Source organism: Homo sapiens, chromosome 7, assembly GCF_000001405.40.
Source record: "Homo sapiens chromosome 7, GRCh38.p14 Primary Assembly".
Taxonomy (NCBI): Eukaryota; Metazoa; Chordata; class Mammalia; order Primates; family Hominidae; genus Homo; species Homo sapiens.
In genome coordinates, this window is record NC_000007.14 from 154680502 (window position 1) to 154698643 (window position 18142).

General features: G+C 43.2%; 1 protein-coding gene across 13 annotated transcripts in view, besides 1 other annotated feature; it reads left to right on the forward strand.

Moving 5' to 3' along the window:
* Positions 1-18142, forward strand: part of DPP6 (dipeptidyl peptidase like 6) — a 1146153-nt gene that overhangs the window by 932369 nt on the left and 195642 nt on the right. The gene's annotated exons all lie outside the window — the stretch shown is intronic.
* Positions 878-1172: an enhancer, noted in NCBI's record as "tiled region #9204; K562 Activating DNase unmatched - State 1:Tss". NCBI's record gives its function as "activates a minimal TATA promoter and a strong SV40 promoter by Sharpr-MPRA in K562 cells {active_cell/tissue: K562}" and the evidence as "EXISTENCE:reporter gene assay evidence [ECO:0000049][PMID:27701403]".

The following is an 18142-nucleotide window of genomic DNA, read 5'->3' on the forward strand; positions in this document are numbered from 1 at the left end:
ATGGGAGCATGGAGCATATATCATCTATCAAACAATAGCAGGACTAAAAATAAGCCATTTGGTATGTTGGCATATGGAAAGGATTAGAAAGTAATATATTAGTCAAAATAATTATTTGGACTGGCCAGACTGGGCTTTTTTCCCCCTTCTAAAACTTTCTTGGTTAAAGCAACATTATATATATATTTTTTTTAAAAAAAAATTAAAAAGAGAAGAAAATGTATTGTTAAAAATGGGATTTAGGAACTCTACTCAATAAACATGTGCTCAAGTAGTGTTGAGGGTAAAGAAGAGGCGCTTTTTGCAGAGAATCCAAACATGAATAAGCCGCCCATCACCCTCCGGGGATCACAGTGCCGTTAATTCCACCGGTTTGAAAGCTCTGTTGCAAACCCTTCAGAGATATTTTCTGGGACTCACTCTCTTTTTGAAGGAGAGAAAGCAGAATAACAAAATTCAAGGTCACAGATTATGAGTGTTTAATATCTAAAAATTATTTTTAATTGATAAGTCATCATCGTATACACTTACGGGATACAAGAGGACTATAGTCAATAATAATGTGTTGTATATTTCACAATAAGAGAATACATTTCAAAAAAAAAATGGTAAGTGAGCCTTGAGACTCACTCTTAAGCCAGAACAAAATTAAGGAAAAGGTGGATGCAGGGTTAAAACCGGGCCTGACCTGCTTGCCCACGTTGGCCGGTGAAGATAAACCCTATTTTCTTCCTCATAGCTTCCTTAATTCAATTGCGACTGAAACAGTGTATCATTTCTTAGGAATAATCAAATTTAGAAGGGTGCCCCCACATCAGCCTCGGCAATATTAGGTTAGAGAATTTCAAGATCATTTATCAAATAGAATTTAAAGCAGGACCAGAGTTGTACATTAAGGAAGAGTGCACTTAGTGATAGATTCTTGAGAGAATATAACAAGGCAGTTAGTTATAAATGAACATAACCTTTTGAGACCTTTGGATGATGGGGCGTGGAGCCGCACCACACTTGCGGCCATGGCAGATCCTGTTTCTCGTCCTGTGGAGGGAGCAGCTTCTGAACATTTGGAGGCTTTTCCGGTCGCCTCGGGTAGGGCGGGGGAGGGCTGTACTCGGTGCTGCCAAGAATTCTCCTTCGTGCACCTAATCGGGTTCTGTAGATTACTTTGTGGAATTCTCCCGTTTGGGTGGAGGGAACACCTCTTCATCATAATTCCTAAATGTTTCACCATTGGAAAATATCAAAGTAAAGGTTCCATCTCCTGGTCTTTGTAGAATAACTGCGACCTTTTCTTCCTTTAAAGTGCTGAAATACTGTCAGTCCCACTTACTGTAGCAGTTAATCTTATGCCTCTTTGTTTTATTATTCAACTATTTTGCTTTTGAATAACTTTATTTCCCAGACCAAATGTAAGCTGTTGAAGAACAAAGAATGTTTTTCATTAGACTTTTGTCTTCCACAGCCCGTTGCTCAGCATTGTGCAGAGTGTAGGTTCTCAACAAATACTTGTGAAATGAATGCCATCCAGAAGGGAAAGTAAAATTAAATGTCAGATTTATAGACATAAGGTCCAACATTCATGGAAATTGGAAAACTTTGACGTTATAACCTAAAATTTTTGAGATTTAACAACTTGTCTGATGGCAAATTAATTCAGCAGTTCAGATTCAGTTCAGATTGTGAGCAATACCAAGGAAGAAAATCTGGATTTTCGAGTCAGACATTTGTCTTAAAATGTTTGTTATGCTGTGAAAGATCTTAAAAGGAAGATAGAGAGTGCTCCTGATTAAAACCTGTCAGGATCAGGCTGAACTCAACAAGGCGAAAGGACCTGAACTTCTTGTCTTTCCAAGGACGTTTCAGAGGATGAAAGCGCCTCACTTCTTGTCCCACTAGGACACCGAGGTGATCGTCTCCGCAGTGTCATAAGGAACAGTGAGGCCTCGTGGGCTTGTGCCCCTCACGCACTCTCCGGTTTGAAATTGGGGTCGGCCCTCATTCTAATGCCCTGTGAGGGCCTCAGAGGTTATTGTCTGGGTTGTTAAACGTGGAGACAGAGAGGGCACAGAACAGAAGATAATTTGCTCACTTAAAACAAGAGGTTTCTAAGAACGTTTGGAGAAATTTTAGTGTGTCCAAGTCAGTTATTTGTGAATGATTCTTCTGGACCTTTCTGCAAAGTAGACTTCACAGGGCTCCTCCTTTGCAGAATTTTGTTAGCCCTGATTGATTATTAGAGGTTAATTATCAATACTGGATACTAACGTACTTCTGCCCTTTGACGTGGGTATTTGCACAGCCCACGAGGTTTTATTTCACTTCTCTGATGTGTGGGGAACACAGTGCCTTACTCGTGCTAGAGCAGTGATAGACGTGAGCACAGATAATCAATGAGTCAATTTCAATGACAGACCACTTTGGTTTTTTTTTAGACTGTGGGTTTTACTTTTGTTCTTTTGTTTCATTTTTTTGTTGTTGTTTTGTTTTGTTTTTTGTGTAATAGCTCACATCTAGTTCAGCTATTTCCACTCTAAAAAAAGTTAGCAAATTAGTGAATTGATTTTTCTGTTTGTTCTTCAGTTTGAAAACCTCTTCATTTATCTGAATGGTTTTAGTTTTCCCTTTAATGGCTTTTATGGCCAGGAACTGTTTGAAATATGTTTTAATTTCCTCCATTAGGCCAGATTTAATTAACGTACACTATGCATGTTGGTGAGCTGAGTGTGCCGTCTGACCTCCAGCCTAGATCGCTCTAGAGCCTGCGCCTGTCCCGTGAGTGTGAGGCCAACTGTGCACTCCAGACTCAGTTCATTCATAAATCTAAACTCACTATTGTTTCTGCCAAAGCTCTGCCCTGTAAGTGGTACCACCATCTCTTCTGTGCCAGGTCAGCCAAATTCTTGACTCCCCTTCCTCCCCCACCGGCTTGATCCACTATACATTTTATGAATTCTGCTTTCTTGGTATCATGAAAATCCACCTTCTTCTTTCTGTTCCCACCATCACCTCATGCCTAGGTTCCTGTAACAGCTGCCTTCTTGGTTTTTCTACCCCAAAACTACCCCTACTCCAGAATGTTCTCCATCTCTCACTGAGTGATCTAAAATGCAAATATAATCATGTCCATTTTCCCATGTAAAATCCTTCCACTGTTTTCCACTGCCTTTAGGATAGAACCCAAACCCCTTCACATGCTTTGTGAAGCCCACCTGAGGTGCCATCACTCCCCTGACCTCTCCTGCCACCCAGTACTCCCAGGCTGGAGACCAGCCATAATGAGCTACATCCAGTTCCGCAAATGTCCCAGACCACCTCTCACTGCGAAGACTTTGTATTTGCTATTCACAAAGTCCAGAACACACTCTTTTTTTAAAAAATGTTTTAAAAGACCATGTCTAGCTCTATCACCCAGGCTGGAATACAGTGGTGTGAGCATGGCTCACTGCAGCCTCAACCTCCTTGGCTCAAGCGATCCTCCCACCTCAGCCTCCTGAGTAGCTGGGACCTCAGGCACGTGCCACCATGCCTGTTTAGTTCTTGTATTTTTTGTAGAGATGGGGGTCTCACTGTGTTGCCCAAGCTGGTCTGGAACTCCTGCACTAAGCAATCCTTCTACCTCAACCTCCCAAAGTGCTGGGATTACAGGCATGAGCCACTGTGCCCAGCCCAGGACACACTCTTAATCCCCCACCCCTCACCCCTAACTCCAATCCCTGAAGATTGGGCTTGAGACCCCTCTGCTCTGTCCCCTGCCACTCTGCCATTGCCTTATCACCACACTCATCACTCTCTGCTTTTGTGACCTGTTTCCTTGTTATTCTCCCCCAGCCAAATCCAAGCTCCTTAGGAACAAGCACCTCTCGTGTTCACTGCTGTGTCCTCAGCCACTTTGTGTAGACTGTTAGTAAGCATTAAATACGTGTTCAAAGGTTGAATGGGTGACTCAGTCAATTAAGGCATATTATTTACCCAAGATGAAAATCAATTACTTTTTTCAATTTAAGCGTAAACTCGATTTATGAATTTTTATGAAATTTGTTTCTGTGTTTTCACCTATTGGAGATGTTGGCTGACCTTTCATCTCTAGCCACACCCTGTGGCATCCTCCTTTAAATTTTAGCCTTTTCAGCCACCACATGGGTCCCAATTACCATGACACCGTGTTCAAACCCAGGCTCACCAGTTTCTAGTTACCCTTCAGATAAAAAGGTTATGATTGCACGTACATGTATCTATTTAATTAAGCTAGTTTTCTCCATGGCCATACAAAGTCGTGTTTCTAAAATTAGCTGGGTGATCTGACTGTTTAGTGGAACTTGAGTCTTTAGAAGGTCCTCAGATACCACTGCTGTCTACTTCCTGTAAATCTAATCATCACAGGACAAGGTGCAGGATAGGCTTGCTTAGGGAATGCTGCCTTTTAAATTTCCTATGTTACTGCATGACAAGATTAGTTGACTCTGATAACTCCCTACAAAAGACTCAGAATAATAAAGGAATAAATTAATCAGTCAATGGAAAAGCAAACGATCTATACCAGGCTGATGAACTATAATAGAACATCTCATTGTTACACAGAGTCAGCCGTCTCCCACTGCCCTGCTGAATCCTATCTGAACAGTAAATCTGTGTTGTAACAGAGCCAGCATGGCAAGCAGCTGCTCAGCTGGCCTTTCCCCTCCTGTCTCATAAAGAAAAATGCCAATGTATTCGTAATTTCCCAGTGAGGTGGCAGAGTCTGTAAATCCTTTTTTCCAATAACCCTAAAATTTTACTAGCCAACGGTTCAACAGCCTGGTACACATTTAGGGAAACAAAAGGTTTATGGTGGCAGATGATTGTTTAGAATAATGTTTCTTAACTCAGCTACACTTCAACTTGTGTAACTACGAATGCTGTGGCTGCATGCCCAGAGGCTCTGGTTCGTTTGGACCAGGGTGGGGCCTGGGCGTCAGGGTATTTGAAAGCTCCCCAGGGGCTTCTGATGTACAACCATGTCTGAGCATCCTGGGTTTAGATGCTTACAGGCGGGACTGGGACTGGATGACCTCTTTAATAAACTTTGAAGTTTCAAGGTCAACATTCCAACTTCATAATAAAATATAGAATCTCTTAGATTATATTTTTAATCACCAGGCCCATCACAAGGGAGGTGCTGAATATAAAATTGCTGGTCATTAAAACATTGCCAGGGAAATTGTTGCTTCAAAAAGGCAGCTGTACTTCCTTAGATCAACATGCATGGCTTGGCCACGTTGTAGTTTACTTTGCTCCTGGTCAATTCAACTTAATTCAACTCAAAGTTAAGATCAGGATGTGATAAAATTATTTTGTTTTCTTTTTCTTTGAATCCTGGATGAGAAGTCATTGTCCAAATCATTAGGTGTTTTATGCAATATTACCAATCTTTAGTGTGATTTTCCCCCCATCAAACCTATAAACAATAAACTTTTCTAAAAGAAAGCCTGCCATGATGGAAGCACTGGGTTTCAGACAGCAAGTCTCACTGCATGGCTGTGCAGGTTGGGACATACTAACTTGTGATAACAGCGGCCTTTTAGATAGGGCTCACAATGTTCCCACCACCATGCTAGGCACTCAGTGTATTACTGTCTCTTTTGCTCACAATATCTCTATTCAGCAGTGAGAAAATAGAAATTCAGAAAATGGAAGTAATTTTCCCCGGGTCACATATCAGGGATGGTGTCAGAACTGAAACTGAAGAAGTCGTGTCCCAGCTTCTTCCTTTGGACCGAACTCTTAAGTCTGGACTCTGTTCAGAATGACTTCTCTCAAGACCAAATGTTCTCAAGTCTATGAGAAGCCTTTGAACACCTCTTAAATGCACTGTAAATACAGTGTTATTACCATGAACGTGATATTTGTATATTTGTATTCAAGGCCACCATAAGGATTTTTTTTTTTTTGGCAATGCACAGAAGCTGGATGTCTCCCGATACAGCATCTGGTGTAATTAATCCGACACCCTTATCTCTCCCCACTGAGCATTCTCAAAGGGAATGAAACATTGACCTAACTGATATTTCCCTCTAAAATCTTTGCAGGTTCCATAAATGAGCTGTCAGAGCCCCAGGGCAGACACTGAACCCCAACTGGAATAAAACGTTCCTCCTGGAGAGGGTGGGTCAGTTATCCAGCACAGCATTCCTCACATCCCAGGGGTGTGCAGAGCCCTTTCAGAGCTGGATCAAACAAATGAAGCTTGTATGTCTCCTTTTCCAGGGGGTGACCTAAGTATTTGATGTTAGTTTTCTACGCTTCATTATTTTTTTTATTTCGGATGCATTTTAAATGTTAATGAAATATTTTATGAATAAAGAGTAATAAAATGAGCACTCACATGCCCTCCAGTCAGCATGAAATACAGAGCATTCCCAAGCATGCCCAGAGCTCGGACTCCAGGTCCACCGGGTTCCGGGTCCCTCCTCCACCAGACCAACCACTCCTCTGAATTTTCTTTATGTTTCCCTGCCATTTATGGATCTCTAAACAATATACCATTTACATTTTGAACATTATGTAACTGTTACCAGACAGTATCTATACTCATGTGACTTGAGGTTACATCAACATAGTATAGATACTGTCTGTCTTGTCACTATACAGTAACATGAGTGTAGACGCTTGATGTACCCTGAGTGTACATACTGTCTGGTAACAGTTACATCAAGTTATATAAAGTCTCCTATATTATCTTGTATGAACATGTGGAAGCATTAGCTGTAATTGAGTCTTTTTCAGTTTTCTGTCATAGTCCATTATACAAATGTATCACAATGCCTTTATCCAGTCCTTTGTCCATGGATATTTAGTTTTCTATTTTTAAATGTATTTACAGTTTTGCTATGTGCATTTTGCTCATGTTTTCTGGTGCACATGTGGCAAAGTTTCTGTAGGTTTTGCTGTGTGTATATTTCATTACTGATGGTGCTGAACATCTTTGCATGGGTGCATTTTCTATTCATGTCACAACTTCTGTAAAACACTTGTTCATGTCTTTTAACCTATTTTTCCTTCGGGTTGTTTGCCCCTTTCTTATTGATGCGCATCATTTCTTTATACATTTAAGATTCAATTATTTGTCAATTACATTATTTCCAAGATCTTCTCTCATTTTACAGCCTGTCTTTTCACTCTTATTTTGATATTCTTTGGCAGGAAGATACATTGATTTCAATGCAATTTATTCCTTTATGGTTTGCATTTTTAAGTCTTCTTGAAGAAATTGTCCCTACCCCAAGGACATAGTCTCGTAGATTATCTTGTAACATTTTTTTACTTTCATCTTTGACAATTATGTCTTTAGTCCCCCTGAACTGGATTTTTGGGAAGGGTGTGACGCATGCTTACAATTATCTTTCCCTAGGAATAATCAATTGTCCCAGAACAATTTATTGAGAAAGTGTTCCTTTCCTTACTGATCTTTGGAGCCTCTGCTATTTATCAAACTTCTGTGTATGGGTGGATTTGCTTTCAGACTCTCCACTGTGTTCCACTCATCTTTTGTCCACTGTTGTAACAACACCACACGTTCTTACTACAGCTTCACCACACAGATGGGGCATTTGGTACAGCCAGTCACCTGGGCATGCTGCTCCTAAGAGTGTCCTGGCTGTCCTTGGCCTTTTGCATATGTGTATATATGTGTCACTCATGCACACACACAATTTAGAATAAGTTTGTTCAGTTCCTCTAAAAACACTATTGGGAGATTAGTGTGAACTGCATTAAGTCTATATACCAATGGAGGGAGAATTTATAAACTTCAGCTGTTGAAACTTTCAATATGTGGTATAGTTCCCAGTTTATTTACTTAAAAAATACTTTCTCCATAAATTTTTATAATTTTCTCCAAAACAGCTTGCAAAGCTGGTTTAAATTTACTCTTACATATCTTCTTTGGATATTTTTGGTACATGTTTCATTTTGTAAATGTAATTTTTAGAATTTATGTCTGCTAGTGTATTAGTCAGGGTTCAGACTAATTAGTTAGAGGGACAGAACTAACAGGATATATATATTAACTTACACGATCACAAGGTCCCATAATAGGCTGCAAGCTGAGGGGCAAGCAGAGCCAGTCCCAGTCTCAAAACTGAACAACTTGGAGTCTGATGTTGGAGGGCAGGAAGAGGCCAGCACTGGAGAAAGATGTAAGCTTGGAGGTTTGGCCCATCTCTCTTTTTCATGTTTTTCTGCCTTTTTCATATTCTCTGGAAGCTGATTAGATTGTGCCCACCCGATTAAGGGTGCATCTGCCTTCCCCAGCCCACTGACTCAAATGTTAATCTCTTTTGGCAACACCCACACAGACACACCCAAGATTAATACTTTGTATCCCTCAATCCAATCAAGTTGACACTCAGTATTAACCATCACAGCTGGTTAATAGAATTGCACTTGACATTTTCTATTGATTTTGCATCCAGCAGCCTTGCTAAACTCATTTACTTCCAATAATTGATCTGTGGTTTCTTTTGGATCTTGTATTTAGATAATTACACCCTCTCCAAATAATGACACATTTATTTCTTCCTTTTTCATCCTCAACTCTGCCTTATTTCCTGATCTTACTCCACTCTCCAGAACCACCCACACTATGTTGAGCAGAACAGCAATAGTGAAGATGCAACCCTCGCCTTCTAGCTCATCATAGAGGAAATGCTCCCAAGTTTTTGCCATGGAATGTGAAGTTGCTGTAGATTCATTTGGGAATGACCTTGGTCAGTTTCAGGAAGGCCATTTCTATTTCTAGTTTGCACGATTTATTTGGGAATGACCTCGGTCATTGGGTTTTGTTTCTTTGGTTGGTTGTTGTTGTTGGTCTTGTGGTCTGTGTTCTGTTTGTCTTTATTTTGAATGGATTTTGAATTCTATGAAGTATGTTTTCTGAATCTATTGAAATGATCATGTGGGTTTTTTTTCCTTTAATCTGTCAGTGAGGTGTATTGTATTGTCAGTAGAAAACCAGCCTTATGTGACTAGGATAGATGTGATTGATTGGGATGTACTTTTTAATATATACCTAGCTAGATTTTTTTAACATATTTTCTTTAGGATTTTTGCGTCTGTGTTCATGGGTGAAATTCGTCTACACTGTGGGACATTATTGAATTTAAAATCAGTTTATTAGAATGGTAGGTACTTAAGTAGGTACAAACACAAAACTATGCAACTATAAAGCCATATATAATTTACCAATTCACTTCAACAAATCTACGAAAGCAGGAAATTTAAAAACAATTATATCAATTTGCAGTGCTGATGTTTTACTGAAAGTCTCTGGCAGCTGGAATATGATGACAATGCTGACTGCTCCATGAATTTTCCTTTCTTCTCCTGCATTACCACGTGACTTGTCATGACTTAATTTCCCATGCATTTTCTTTATTTGACCTATAGAGAAACCTTCTTTGGAACAATACAGCCATGTTATTGTTGCTTTGCTTGGCAGGAATACATCTTTCGCATGTCAAGTCCCTTTTATTCTTTTCTCACTGGCCCACAATAACTAAAGCAGTACTACTTGGCACCAGTGTGCTTATAAACATAAATTCAGGCCCTAAAATCAGGATAGAAGGACTTGCTTATTGGATAGTCATCCAGGTGGTCCACAATATGGGATATACATTTTACTAAGATTCTCATCAAAATGAACATATGAAATGTCAGTGTTTTATAAGGACCTGTGTCCTCAGATTCCCAGGTTGTTATCACTCAGTTTGAGAAGCATCCCATCCAGAGTTTTTACAGAAGGAATTGTTAGTACAGTTTGCTAGGCTGCATTTGAACCAATGTCGGCCTTCCCTTAGGACCAGCAGAGACGGTAAGCAGAACTTAGGTGAGTGGTAAGGAGTCTTTTAGAGAAGTCCTCCTCCCTCGAGGGCCTCACTCAAGATCTGACTTTGTAGAAAGCAGAACTTCACACTGACTTTGAGTAACTGTCTTCCATGATGAGCTGGGGAGAGAATGGAACGGTGCCCATGAGACTGTAGGACTTCATGACCTTCAGCTGTTTCTCCACACAGAGTGCTCTCAGCCTACAGCGAGAGAGGAATGATCCCACCAGCTGGAAATAGAGAGGACTGCAACCCAAACCACCCCCCACCCCGCATCATGAGGCAGCAAGAGTTGGACATATCTTCTCCCCATCTTCCCCTGGACACACCCTACAGAAAGTCCTGTGGAAACACCCCACTATGAGGCTGCCTTATTCTCATGTTAGCCTGATTTGCAATAGGGAAAATGTTGAGGACACAAAAAACCCTGGCTTTATTTGCCCTGATCACTTCATCCTCATGGTGGTAAAAATGCCCCATCCATGCAACAAGTCTTCAAGCACCTCTCATGTGCCAAGCAGCCCCTGCCTTAGGACCACCCGCTGTTAAGTGTTCACTGGTGATGCCACTGTCTTACCTTATGAGCACTAAATGCTTAAGCAGGGCTGGTAAAACATAGAACATTTCTCAGGTTATTGTTTCAAAATACACTGTGGTTGTCAGGCGGAAAAGGTTTCCCTCTTAGGATCACCTGTGACGAGCAACGTCAAAGTGTTTTGGTGCAACTCAAATGCTTTGCTGGAACTGTTTTTCTCCATACAATGTACGGGGAAGGCTTCCATGTCATGGAACAAAGTGGTGAATGTTCAAATGGTCAGGGTGTGATTTCATGGGCTGCATGGATTAAGGAACATTGAAACATAAAGTTGAGGACATTGCTCTGTTTTCAATTCTCTCAAACTTCTGTTTTCCGATGAGGAGCATGATTTTGACACCTCCTAATTCTTGCTCATGTCTCTTTTTAACAAATGGAGAGTGAGCCTCAGGCCCAGAACTCCAAGCAGGACTGGGCAGAATTCATTATCATGTTTTGGTTTTTTGGTATTTATTTTATGCTTATCATTACTTCACTGCAAAGAATACTGGTGTTCCATTTATAGTAGTAATACAAAATGTCCCTGATAAATGAAACTTGTTTACATAAAGAGGGAATTGACTGAAAAGAAAATAAAGCAGCCGGGCGCGGTGGCTCACTCCTGTAATCTCAGCACTTTTTGGGAAGCCGAGGCGGGTGGATCAGGAGTTCAGGAGATCGAGACTATCCTGGATAACATGGTGAAACCCCGTCTCTACTAAAAATACAAAAAATTAGCCAGGCATGGTGGTGCACACCTGTAGTCCCAGCTACTCAGGAAGCTGAGGCAGGAGAATCGCTTGTGCCCGGGAGGTGGAGGTGGCGGTGAGCCAAGACGGTGCCACTGCACTCCAGCCTGGGTGACAGAGTGAGACTCTGTCTCAAAAAAACAAATAAATAAATAAATGAAAGAAAAAAAGGAAAAGAAAAGAAAGCAAATAATAGTATCAGAGGTACTCACAAAGGTGGTTAGTGTTTAACCAGCCTTGGGAAGTGCTCCTGTCAGGGAAGGAAGCCAGGGTTTAGCAACAACACACGTTGGGTGGAAACCCAGCCCTCACTGGATTGATGATGTGTATAACCCCTCTGAGCCTCAGTTTCCCCATTCATGAATAGGGCAAAAAGACCTCCCAGGGATGCTGTGAAGGTTAAAGGCAATAACTTATAGGCAGCATTCCTTATGTGGTAAATGTTAGTTCCCTCCCTGATGTTGGAGGAGAAATCTATTATTATCTTGAATCTGGGCCAAAGACATAATAATATTTGCATAAGTGATGAAAGATGACAAAATGGAAAAACATGGACTTGTAGCAAGACAAGCCTATTAGCTTTTTCGACCTTGAAACTTCTGATTTGATTTCCTAATCCATAAAATGAGGAAGATTAAGATACTTATTTTGCATAATTATTGGGCAAATCTGAGGTAATGTATGTAATTAAGTCACGTCCTAGTGATCACATCAAGTACAGAGTAGGCCTCAATCAATAACAGCTGTTTGTTATGGTCCTCACTGGGGAAGGACCATGACTTTCCTTCCTCATGTGAGAACCTCCTTTATCTTTCAAATTGTATCCTCATGTGCATAAAATATTCTTCAGAGTTTGTAGGGAAATCGTTTGATTAATGTTGGGGTCAAGAAGCAACAAGGTGTTGCGGGGACATCCTCTAGAGCCTTGAGAATTTGGGGTGTGAAATTCTAATTTCTGAGATGCTGATGTAGCTACAGATTCTACATAGAGACCCACTCACCTCATTAATTCAAGGTTCAGGGCACTGAAAGCGCATCTACCCATCATCCTTTTCTCTTTTTCATACTTTTATTTGAAAACTATTATTCTCTCTCTCTTTTTTTTTTTTTTTTTTGAGACAGGGTCTCACTCTGTCATCCAGGCTGGAGTGCAGTGGCACAGTCATAGCTCACTGTAGCCTCAAACTCCTGACCTCAACCTCAAGCAGGTGTTCCTCCCATCTCAGCCTCCCTAGTCACTGGGACTACCGGCACACACCACTACACCCGGCTAATTTTTAAATTGTCTGTAGAGATGAGGTTTTGCTATGTTGCCCAGGCTTGTCTCAAACTCCTGGGCTCAAGTAATCCTCCTGCCTCAGCCTCCCAAAGTGCTGGGATTACAGGTGTGAGCCACTGGGCCTGGCCCTCTTTATTTTTCTACTGACAATTAACCTTCTACTTGACCAGAGGTCTTTTTAAGGATTAAAGAGTGGTAATTTGGCTCCCCTAAAATTCACAGCTGTGAGTGTGCTGTGAGTTGTGTGACAGCTGCATTGCAGTTGCAATTGTGTGCTAGTTTCTAACAAGGGGAAGCAAACGCTGACGTGGCCGAGAAGGAAGGCCCTTACTATGAGGCTTCCGTTAAGTCTCCTCCAGGTCACATTTTCATAACACCAAGTGATATTTTTCAGCTTGAATGTCTCCTGATATTATAAGGAGTTTGAAATTTTCCTTTATTAATTAACATTTTCATTTTGCTCACATTTTGGAGAGCACTGATTTTCCAGAAGTGCTAATTACCAAGCTCACAGCAGAAGGTTGGCTGCATTTTAAACTATTTCCTCAGATGCTCCCTGCTGAACTCAGAGATGTCCTCATTCAGCCGAGCCAGCCTCCCAGGTGGGTGGGAGGCCCCTGGCTGGTGCCACTCACAGACTTTGGGCTTCTTCTGAACCCGCGGAGCCCTGAAACACCAATAGGCCCACACTCCTGAGGGGGTTCTGGCCACATCTGCCTTTAGGAAAGATCTGTTCATTGGTGTAAAACCCTGACGTGTGACATCAGAAAACCAGAGCACCTGGCCATGCCCCAACCCTGTAGCTCCAGGCAGACCTCCCTATGATGTGGCCTGCCATAGTCATGTGGCTCGTGATGAGTCTAGAAGGCCTGGAAGTTTCTGTCTAAGTCTGGGCAAAAACAGAGGGACTCACAGCACCCCTTGTGGTGTGAGAGTAATAGATGCATGCATACATGTGTGAAGGCTTGTTTGCAGATGTCTCCATCTGTTATGTCTGAGCCCATTCAGGCTGCTCTAACAATATCGTAGACTGGGGTGCTTAGAAAAAACAAATTGATTTTTCATCGTCCTGGAGGCTGGAAGTCAAGGTTAACTTGCTAGCTGATTCTGTGCCTGGTGAGGGCCTGTGTCCTGGCTCATAGACTGCCTTCTTCTGTGTCCTCGCTTGGTGGAAGGGACAAGGGACCCCTCTGTGTTGTCTTTTGTAAGGGCACTAATCTCATTCGTGAGCGTTCTCCCCTCATGACGTGATCATTTCCCAAAGACCTCACTTCCTAATACCATCCCATTGGGGGTGGGATTTCAACATTGGAACTTGGGGAGGACACGAACATTCAATGTGTAACACCATAAAGAAGACATGGGAGGCCAGGCTCAGTGGCTCACAACTGTAATCCCAGCACTTTGGGAGGCCGAGGTGGGTGGATCGCTTGAGGTCAGGAGTTCAAGACCAGCCTGGCCAACATGGGGAAACCCCGTCTCCACTAAAAATACAAAAATTAGCCAGGCATGGTGGCGGGTGCCTGTAATCCCAGCTACTGGGAAGGCTGAGGCAGGAGAATCGCTTGAACCCGGGAGGCAGAGGTTGCAGTGAGCTGAGATCACGTCACTGCACTCCAGCCTGGGCAACAAGAGTGAGACTCCATCTCAAAAAAAAAACCAGAAGGCATAGGAATCTGGTATGTATGTACTAATCTTCAACATTGACGGTCCCCAGCCTTTCAATCCTTGATGTAAGTGATGAAGATGAGCTTCTGATCTCTCAAGGCCCGGCGGACCCCTTTCCTAAACCTGGGGTTACCATTTTCCCATGCCTGGGGGTTTTCCCAGGACATTCATGCTGATACCAGGACAGTCCCGGGTAAGCGGGATGGTTGCTCATGCTGTTGACAAGGCTCTGGGGATCTTGGCGCCACCACCTTCTCCTCGTGCCACACACACACATGCACACACACCACCCATGCCAGACTTCTGAATCTCATCTTATGAGTCCATTAATTCACTGTTCCCCACCTGCTATATGTGCCCAAAGATTTGAGATTTGCATAGACAACATTTTGAAAAGTTTTATCCTCTGTTTTGTCATTAAAATAGACCCCGTGGGTGGGTCAGCAAGTGATATTAGGAAGACGGGGGTGAGATGGTATCAAATGAAGGGAAGACTACAGGGCTGGCGGCAAGGACACAGATTTGGGGTAGCAGCCAGACTTGGGAATTTGGTGAGGGTGCATGACGCCCAAGACTATTGCAGAGCCTGATGCCTCGGCCCCCGGGTACCTGGACCACAGTGGCAGGGCGCCAGAAAGGGCTGTGAGGGAACTAGGTCAGCAACCAAAAACTCACAGGAGTCAAACGAATACTATGAGCCACTATGTTTGCCCAGAGCTGTGCTAGTGTGTGTATGAGATTTTTAAAAAGGGAAAACGTTACTGTTGCCTGAAGGAGATTAATATGTGGATAAGACATACATACATGACAGAAACTAAGAAAGTTATTACAAGATTTTAACCAGAGTCTTACCACCCTATTTTTAAGGCAGGAGAATTGTATGAAATGATTGCTATAGTTCAGAGAGGTGAAGTAATCCTCTAAATCACATAGTGATTTGGTGTTTTGTGAGTTTGGAGAAGGAGAGGTGAAGGTGGTTCTGGAAGGCTTCCTCCAGGAGATGGGGCAGACTCGGGCTCTGCAGAGCAGGCAAGGTCATCAGAGAAGCGGAGCAGCAGAGACCTGGAGGCAGGCTGTGAGGTGGCTGGCGCTGTGTGGATCAGGGAGGTGCCGAGGGTAGGAGAATGCTGGCCTGGTTCTAAGTCATTGGCCCTGCGGCACGTGGCCTGTCTGGAAATGAGTTCCTGCAGACACTCTGGACAGGCAGGAGACCTCAATGGGCACTGGGGCAACCTGGGCCAGCTGTAGGCTTCCTTCCTGATCAAACAAGCGGACCGTGCTGAGACACCTCCCCGAAAGCCACAGGTCTCAGCCCCTTCATGGGTGACCCTGTGTTATCCACCTGAGAAAGGGCCCAAAAGAGGCCTCTCAGAGGAGGCAGGCCCTGTGGCAGCACGGGCCTTGAAATCGGCCCCCGGGGCCCCTGTGGCTTCAGTCCAGGGACTCCATGCCGGGCGCTGAACCACCTCCACAAAACTCATGCGATCCTCAGAGCCCCGCCTCATCAGCCGGAGGACAGGGGTCACCTGACAGTGTGTCTGAATGAGCGGAAGCTTCCGTTCTGTGAGAGCTCTGGGCTTTTGTGAACTGACACGGGGCACAGCCACCCGGGCCCCTGGGTGTGGAGTAACCTAAGAAGTCGTGTACCCCTGGGGTGATGAGGATTGAGGCTAAGATGGGCAGAGGGAGAGGAAAGGTTACACGGGACCCAGTGACAGGAGTCGCAGTGAGTTCAGCCCTGGTCTGCCCAGAGCAGTCCAAGTTTACCCGGGAGTCCAGGGGAAGTCACAAATAGAGCTTCCTTTCATGTGCAAATGTCCCCTCATTTGGATGATAGGTTATAGGACCCTCCTAAGTTTGGTGACTTCTGAGGTCTCAGGCTAAGACATTTCTTTGACCCCACTACAGATGAAGTACATTGTTTAAGTGTTGGAGGGAGTGGCCTAGCCCAGGGCCCAGAGCTGGAGCCTGCCAGCCTGGTCCCCATCCAGGCCCTTCCACTCATGGGCTCTGTCCTGTTGGGCAAATCACCTAGGCTGTCTGTGCCTCATTTTCCTCTAATATGGATATCAACATAGCGCCCACCTCATGGGCTTATGAGGATGTGACTCATACTATGCGTGATGCCGTGTTAGCCTTTGTTAATGAGAACCTCCTGGTCAGAGCTGTGCTGTGGGCAGCCAAAGGCCGATTATGGAGAACCACCCAGAGTGGAGTTAGGAGCCGGCCTCGGGGGGCCGGTCACAGAGTGGCTCAGCTGGTCAGAAATCATGTCTAAGTCTCACACAGGCAGGAAAATGCGACAGTGAGAAAGGGTCCTGTCCCAGCCCCTGAGAGAGTACGATTCTACAAAGACCCTGACACCTGCTCTTGTGACTGAGTTGCATAAAGTAGGGGTTGAATTCCTGAGTCCACTAAAGACATGTACTTCCAGAATGGTAGGAGTGAAAGAGGGGTGAACATAGATGGAGAACCAAGGGTTTTCCCAGGTGCTGTTTGTAGGTCACACAGGGGCACAGTATTGATGGGAAAGTCAGCCTCAGGCATCATGTGCATCATTCAAGGTGTCCCGTCATGTTCCTGGCAGAGTTGGCTTCATATCCAACTTGCCTGACTCCACAGCAGCCTCCCTTTAAGGAGGCTTGGACAACCCAGGCCGCCATGACCGGAACCCCAGAACCTGCCCACGAGAAGTTGCTCCTGTTCTCCTCCTCCCCTGCGAGGCTCCTCTCAGGCCAGGGCTTCCAAGTCCCATGTAGGCCTCCAGAGCCAAGACCCCTGCAGCACCCTGTGCACTCAGGCAGAGGAAAGAGCCCAGGATCCTGCACAGCCCCTTGGCTCTGCTGTGGCCTCTCATCGGGCCCCTTGGCATTCCAGGTGGCCCTGCCATCCCACAGACATCCTCCAGGAAGCCAAGGATGGGAAGGATTCTGAGGTCTGTTTGGCAGAGGTCACATGGATACGTTATGGGAGAGGAGTGGTGTTCTGGCACCCCATGGCTTGAAGGTTTCCATTGTTTTCTCTGTTGATATAAAGACTGGTTTTCAGACAGAGGCAATAAGGGAAGAAACAATAAGTGAGAAGGTGAAAGAGGTCAGTGTTAGACGTAAAAATGCCACTTCTTCTGCAAGGTTTTCTTGAACTCCCAGGTTCGAATTCCCACCACCTTCAGCCATGGCGTGCGCGGCTCTGTCTGTACACTCAGTGTACAGTAAACATTTGTCTACAGGTCTTTCCCGTAACTTGTGATATCCCACACAGCTTAGGATGGTGGCATATTTATTATTTTATCACCAATTCCCAGTACAGGTGCTAGGTTCATTTTAGGCATTTGGTTGAACTTTATCATTTATTTATTTTCCCATTATAAAAATAATACAGAATATAGTAAAAAATAGGAAAAAAAGCCTTTTTAAAATAGCATCAATAGACCCAGTATCTAAAATTACTATTAATATTTTAGTATGTTTTCTAAATCTATTTCCAAGAATAGATGTATTTTTTTAGTTACAATTATTAGTTTTACATCCCAACCTTTTGATACAATTAGCATTGTATACAATTAAATACTTATTGTTAACATAATTTTCATAGTTACATAGTATTTCATTGAGTCGATCTACCAAAATGCAATTAACCATTTTCCAGCTAGACCAGCTGGACCATGTATAATATTCCCTGTTATCACTGATGCTGTGAAGCACCTTTGGGTCTAAGATGTTCCTTGAGTGGAATTACTGAGTCAAAAACTAGGAACACTTTTTTATATACACTTTTGATGTATATTTGCGAATTGTCGTCCGTATGCCTCATCATTCATCCTGATTCCATGCTCACCAGCATCAGGTGAATATGCAATTCGTTTTAAAGAGAACTTGCTAAGGCTATGATTTTTTAAAAAGATCTCTGCTAATATAATTTAATTGCATAGCTATTTAAATCAGCATATATTTAATTATATTCTATAGTTAATTAAATTCACATATATTTAATAGTAAATTGATTTTCTGTA